This window comes from Homo sapiens, chromosome 7 (assembly GCF_000001405.40).
Source record: "Homo sapiens chromosome 7, GRCh38.p14 Primary Assembly".
Lineage (NCBI taxonomy): Eukaryota > Metazoa > Chordata > Mammalia > Primates > Hominidae > Homo > Homo sapiens.
The window spans coordinates 23,558,252-23,566,055 of NC_000007.14; the positions used below are offsets into that span (position 1 = coordinate 23,558,252).

Below are 7,804 nucleotides of genomic sequence, written 5' to 3' on the forward strand. Positions count from 1 at the left end.
TGTTTGAGGTGTGTTCCTTCTATACCCAGTTTGTTAAGAGTCTTTATCATGAAGGGATGTTGAATTTTATTCAGTGCTTTTTCAGTATCTATTGAACTGAACTATGGTTTTTGTCTTTGATTCTGTCAATGTGGTATATCATGTTTATTGGTTTGCATATATTGAACCATCTTTGCTTCCCTGGGATCAATCTCACTTGATCTTTTACATATTAATTATTAATTTAATAAGTAATTATTATTGAAGAGACTGTCTAATAATATTAATATTAATAAATTTAATATTTATTTTTAATTTAATTTAGTTTGTTAGTATTTTGTTGAGGATTGTTGACTATGTTTCTCAGGGGTACTAGAATATAGTTTTCTTTTGTTATTGTGTCTTCATTAGGTTTTGGTATCAGGGTAAAGCTGGCCTCACAGAAGAAGCAGTACCTTCTTATTAATTTTCTGGAATAGGTCTGAATAGAATTGGTATTATTTCTTTACAAGCTTGGTAGAATATAGCAGTGAAGGCATCTGGTCCTGGGCTTTTCTTTATTGGCAGACTTTTTATTATGGCTTTAATCTTGTTACTTGTTATTGGTCTGTTTAAGTTTTCTATTTCTTCATGATTTGATCCTGGTAGTTTGTATGTGTCCAGGAATATATATATATATTCCTAAGTTGTCCAATTTGTTAGCATGCTGTTGTTTATAACAGTCTTTAATAATCCTTTATGTTTCTGTGGCATCAGTTGTAATGTATTCTTTCTCACCTCAGATTTCATTCATTTTATTTTTATTTATTTGTTTATTTTATTATTATTTTTTAGAGATGGGGTCTTGCTATGCTGCCCAGGCTGGCCTTGAACTTATGGGCTCAAGTGATCCTCCTGCATCAGCCTACCAAGTAGATGGGATGCATGCACCACCACATCTGGCTATTTTTCTTTAATTGATACTAATATTTGTACATATTTATGATGTAACTGATATTTTGATATATGCATAGAATGTGTAATGATCAAGTTAGGGTACTTAAGATATCCTTCACATCAAACATTGATCATTTCTTTGTGTTGGGAACATTTCAAATCTTCCCTTCTTGCAATTTTGAAATATACAATATATTGTTGTTAAACATAGTCACCCTACTGGGCTATTGAACACTACCTACTACCTAACTGTATGTTTGTACCATAACTTATTTTTTTCCTTTTTGAGATGGATTCTCACTCTGTCCCCCAGGCTGGAGTGCAGTGGTACCATCTTGGCTCACTCCAAACCCTGCCTCCTGGATTCAAGCGATTCTCCTGCCTCAGCCTCTGAGTAGCTGAGATTACAGTCGCCTGCCACCACACCCAGCTAATTTTTGTATTTTTAGTAGAGATGGGGTTTCACCATGTTGGCCCGGCTGGTCTAGAACTCCTGACCTCAAGTGATCCACCCACCTCGGCCTCCCAAAGTGCTGGGATTACAGGTGTGAGCCACCATGCCTGGTGTGTTATTTTTTTTTCTTTTCAATAATAACCATTATAACTGGGGTAAGATGTTGTCTTATTATGGTTTTGATTTGTATTTTCCTGATGATAAGTGATGTTGACTTTTTTTTTTTTTTTTTTTTTTGAGGCAGGATCTCACCCAGGCTGGACTGCAGTGGTGCGATGAAAGCTTACTGCAACCTCGACCTCCCACCTCAGCCTCCTAACTGGCTGGGACTACAGGCATGCATCATTACATCCAGCTAATTTTTAAATTTTTTGTAGAGATGGGTCTCACCATGCTGCCCAGGCTTATCTCAAGCTCCCAGCCTCAAGCAGTCCTCCCAACTCAGCCTCCCAAAGTGCTGGGATTACAGGTGTGAGCCACCACACCTGGTCTTATAATGTTTACATTGATTTGCATATGTTGAACCATTGTTGCATCAGCTGGATGAATCCCATGTGATCATGGTATCTGTCTAAATATCTTTTTAACGTGTTTTTGGATTCAATATGATAATATTTTGTTGAGGATTGTTGACTCTATGTTTATCAGAGATCTCAGCCCATAGTCTTTTTTTGTGATGTCCTTGTCTGGTTTTGGTATCAGGGTTATGCTGATCTGACAGGATGAGTTAAAAAGTACCTCCTTCTCTTAGTTTCTTTGGAATAGTTTGGGAAGAATTGGCGTACATTGTTCTGTATACGATTGATACGATTCAGCAGCAATGCCATCTGGTCCTGGACTTTTCTTTGTCGGGAGTTTTTTTAAATTACTGATTCAATCTCATTCCTCATTATTAGTCTGTTTAGGTTTTCTATTTCTTTGTAGTTCAATCTTCGTGGTTGTGTGTCCAAAAATTTTCCATCTCCTTCCATTTCTTAGCATATAGTGGCTTGTTATAGTCTCTAATAATCTTTTGTGTATGTGTGGAATCAGTTGTAATGTCTCCTTTTTTCCCCCAATTTTGATTATTTAGGTCTTCTTCCTTTTTTTTCTTGATTAGTCTAGCCAGGTTTATCAATTTTGTATATCTTTTCAAAAAACCAACGTTTTCTTTCATTGATCCTTTGTATTGTTTTTAAGTCTCTATTTCATTTAATTCTGCTATTTTTTATAGCTTTTGCTTATTTTATTCAATATTATTTGAACTTAATCATTCACAAATTTAACCTATCCTTAAAAGTAGGCATTACTTATTTTAGTATAATCCAATTTGCATAGAAAACAAACCCTTTACATATTCACACTTAGGAAGTACACAGAAAAAAACATGAAAGAATATACATTATTAAATTCAAACACTGGGAACCTTTGGGAGGGTAATAAAGGGAGATCATTTTTTATCCCATTCTATATATTTGAATTTTTACAACGTGTATTTATGGATTACTCACATAAATTTTTTTAAAGAGGTATAATGAGATCCAATTAAACCACACTTTCTAGCCATTATTTGCATATTAATCAAGACTTCTATTATTTCAAGTAGCTCTTAAAGTTTGTGAAATGCTTTCTAATTTCCCCCTCAATTTTGCTTGCTCTAGTCATTTATTTAGTAAACCCTCTTCCTCACTCATAAGTTAATTCCAGTTTTGTCAGAAGTACAACTTAAAGTGGCTCCAGGCTACAGGTAATCCTGTTCAAAATTCAGGAACTAAAGAAATTTGGATGGGTTTTTGGAACTAAAAAAATGTTTAGATAATGTGTTCTATATCCAAACTCATAAATGAATGTATGTGGTATCAAGGAATACTTCGTATTGCTATTTGGGGACTTTTGCATTAATGTTGCCTTTAGGGAAGTGGTTTATAATTCTTGGGTGCCCACTGGAAAAATCTGTGGAACTTTAAAAAAATACATAGATGCTTAGGTTCCATCTTTAAAGATTTTGAGTCTGTGGTTGTAAGGGAAGCAAATATTCTTTAGAAATGCTTTTTCCTAAGAAGAAGAAGAAGAATAAGAAAAAAAGAAATGCTTTTTCCTAAATCTCGATCAGTGATTATATAAATATATGTGTAAAAAAATGACATTACCCAGAGAATGACTGAATACAGAACCTTACGGAATGCAAAAACTAAAAAATTCAGAGTAAAGTTAGGTTTTTTTTGGGAGGAAGGGAACAGAATTGGTTTCTGCTAAACATGTTCAAAAGCACCAAAAAGATTAAAAACAATTAAAAAATACTTATTTTTCCAACAGTGGTGTTTTGCAGTAGATAATCTTTCTCGGAAACCATATACTGATAATATAGTGCAAAGACTGAAAACAAATAATAAACATAATCCTGATGTTTATTTATCAAATGTCAATCAGTGGAATCTTTGACTGGCTTTTAAAATGAGGGCAGTTTCGTTACACTGGCATACTTGGCAAACCAGGTAAATACAGAAACCCTTTTCAAGATTTAAAAAATGGAGCAACACTGGTCAGCATTTGGTATGTGAATATAATACATCTACTGAAAATCTTCCCATACATCATGAAAACTTGAAGGTAATTTGTATAGCTTGAAATGTCTTTAGAATATTAGGCACAAAAGGGCCTCATCAGGAACAGTAAAGTGGCATTTTCTGTGTTTCAACTACAATTTAGAACCCAACTGGCTTTGATGTTATATTAAGTAAATTATACTTCAAGCTCCAGAGTATGTGGGGCATAAAATCCTGATTCGAGTTTTATATGACAAAAATTCTAGTAAATATTCCTTTTACTAAGTGGCTTATCAATATTCTCAGACTCAATCTAATCAAGAAAAAGTAGTTTCCACTCTTCTTTTGTTCTACATCCTTAATTAAATTAAATTAATTTATTTGTGGTCTATAGTGGTTTGGATCTCTTCTGAATGTAGTTTCAAGCTGAGACTAAAATGTATTCATGCCAGCCAAAAGGGTTTGAGGACTGTTTGCAACTGTGTTCTTAGTAGATGGAACACCATCGAAAATGATGACATGATCCGCTAGATAGGTGGCCATGATGAAGTCATGTTCCACAACAAAGGCTGTCTTTTTTGCATGAAGTATGAAACGTTTGACAACTCGAGCTGCCATCAGTCTTTGCTCAGAATCCAAATATGCAGATGGTTCATCAATTAAATAGACATCAGCAGGTTTGCCCAAACAAAGGGCTAAAGCTACTCGCTGTAGTTCACCACCCGATAATGTCTGCACCTCTTGATCGATGATGTTTTCAATTTGCAGAGGCTTCATTACATTAGTCACAAATTGTGGATGTGTATAAGCATCTCTTATCTTTTCACGTAGTAACTGGCGAACACTTCCAGTTGATTTAGGACTAATTTTCTGTAACTTATAACTGACATTTAGAACTGGTACTTCTCCTTCTTCATCAGGTTCAAGTCTTCCAGCAAGCATTCTGATAAATGTCGTTTTACCCATTCCATTTTCCCCTAGCATCATCACCATGATTTCAGAATCTGTAAACTCTCCAGCTACAATTGCTAGCTCAAACTCTCCCATTTTTAATTCATTCCTGAATATTTATACATACACATCATTTTGACTTCTTCTTCATTTGCTGTCTCAGCCACTTTAAAAACAAGTGATGCATCTTGGAATCTCAGGTTTTCTGTTGGAACATAGCCATCCAAAAAAATGTTTATGCCCTTTCTTACACTAAAAGGCACAGTGACAACTCCATAGGTGCTTGGTACACCATATAAACAGCAGATGAAATCAGAGAGATAGTCTAATACACCTAGATCATATTCCACTACAACGATATATCTATCTGGATTTATCAGAGATTGTATAGTAATAGCAGGCTTTAAATGCTGTTTGACATCTAGGTAACGAGAAGTCTCACCAAACATGAAAATATCAGCTTTCTGTATGCAAATGACAGCACAGGCAAATCTCTGCAACTCTCCTCCTGAAAGATCTTCAACATTTCGTTCTGTTAGGTGGGTTAATTCAAGCTGCTGACATACAATTGCCTGTGTCTTTGTTTCATCTTTTCAGTCCAAAATAGATCCCACTGTCCCCTTTGCAGGCTTAGGAATCTGGTCTACATATTGAGATTTGATGATGGCTTTTAGGTTCTCTTCTAGAATCTTGGTAAAGTAATTCTGTAATTCAGATTCACGGAAATAAGTCAAAATGTCTTGCCAGTCAGGAGGATCATCGTACTTTCCAAGGTTTGGCTTTTGTTTTCCTGCTAAAAATTTTTAAAGCAGTTGACTTTCCAATACCATTAGTTCCAACTAATCCCAAAACTTTACCTGGACGAGGGATAGGCAACCTGTTAATTTAGATGACATTGGCACAATATCAATGTGTGGTTTCTTTTTCCAAGTTGCTTGGTAAATTGTCAATTGATAGGGCGCCAAAGGGGCATTTCTTAATACAGATACCACAACCAATACAAAGAGTTTCAGAAATCCATGCTATTTTGCTCTGGGGTGTAACTTCTATGCATAATTCTCCCATTTGAACTACAGGACAACTCTTTTTGCATTCCTGTTGACATTTCTTAGGTTTACATTTGTCATGATTGACAATAGCAATTCTCATTAATTTGTCTGCTAGAACTGTGCGAAAGAATATCCAGCTCTTCTGGAGAAAATGATCCCCTTGAGGAGGGGAGCACAGAGGCCAAAGCAGCTCTTGTCTTTACTTTTCAGTCACACAGCATGTTCTCGTGGCCACTGGCCAAAATGGCTTTTTTTTTTTTTTTTGAGATGGAGTCTCACTCTTGTTGCCCAGGCTGTACTGCAATGGTACAATCTTGGCTAACTGCAACCTCCGCCTCCTGGGTTCAAGCTATTCTCCTGCCTCAGCCTCCCGAGTAGCTGGGATTACAGGCCACCGCCACCACGCTTAGCTAATTTTTTGTATTTTTAGTGGAGACGGGGTTTCACCATGTTGGCCAGGCTGGTCTTGAACTATTGACCTCAGGTGATCCACCCGCCTCGGCCTCCCAAAGTGCTAAGATTACAGGCATCACTGTGCCCGGCCTATTCTTTTTTTATTAATAAAAGAAAAATTAAAATAGAGGCAGGGTCTCATTCTGCACTCACCCAGGCTGGAGTGCAGTGGTGCAATCACAACTCACTGCAGCCTCAAACTTCTGGGCTCAACAATCCTCCTGCTTCAGCCTTCTCAGTAGCTGGGACTACAGGCACCCACAACCATGCCCAGCTAATTTTTTGTTTTATTTATTTTATATATATATATATATTTATTTAATTAATTTATTTTTGAGAAGGTGTCTTGCTCTGTCGCCAGGCTGGAGTGCAGTGGCGTGATCTCAGCACACTGCAACCTCCGCCTCCCAGGTTCAAGTGATTCCTCTGCCTCAGCCTCCCGAATAGCTGGGACTCCAGGCACGTGCCACCATGCCCAGCTAATTTTTGTGTTTTTAGTAGAGATGGGGTTTCACCATGTTGGCCAGGATGGTCTCAATCTCTTGACTTCATGATCCGCCCACCTCAGCCTCCCAAAGTGCTGGGATTACAGGCGTGAGCCTATGTGCTTGGCCAATTTTTTATTTTTTATAGAGATGGGGTCTCATTATGGTGAAATGATATTGCATTGTGGTTTTGATGTGCGTATCTCTGATGACTAGTGATGTTAAGCATTTTTTTCATATACCTGTTTGCCATGTGTATGTCTTCTTTTGAAAAATGTCTGTTCAAATCCTTTGACCATTTTAAAATCAGATGATTATTACTTTTTGCTATTGAGCTATTTGAGTTCCTTACATATTCTGATTATTAGTCCCTTGGCAGATGGATAGTTTGCAGATATTTTCCTCCATTCCATGGATGATCTCCCTCTCTGTTTTTTTTTGAGACAGGGTCTCACTCTGTCACCCAGGCTGGAGGGCAGTGGTGCAATCACAGCTCATTGTAGTCTCAGCCTTCTGGGCTCAGGTGATCCTCCCACCTCAGCCTCCCAGGTAGCTGGGACTACAGGTGTGTGCCAGCATGCCTGGTTAATTTTTTGTAGAGACAAGGTTTTGCTATGTTACCCAGGCTAATTTCAAAATCCTAGGATCAAGCGATCTGCCCGCCTCAGCTTCCCAGAGTGCAGGGATTACAGGCGTGAGCCACTGTTCCTGGCCTCTGTGAGTTATCTCTTCACATTGTTAATTGTTTCCTTTGTTTTATAGAAGCTTTTTAGCTTGACATAATCCAGTTTTCTGTTTTGCTTTGGTCACCTGTGCTTTTCAGGTCTTACAGAAAAAAAATCTTTGCCCAGATGCATGTACTGGAGCAATTCCCCAATGTTTTCTTCCAGTAGTTTCATAGTTTCAGGTCTTAGAATCAACTATTTAATCCATTTTGAATTTATTTTAATGAATGGTGAGAGATATAGGTCT

General features: G+C 37.2%; 1 pseudogene; it reads right to left on the reverse strand.

Moving 5' to 3' along the window:
* Window positions 1-4,012: 4,012 nt before the first annotated feature.
* On the reverse strand, window positions 4,013-6,142 carry ABCE1P1 (ABCE1 pseudogene 1; annotated as a pseudogene).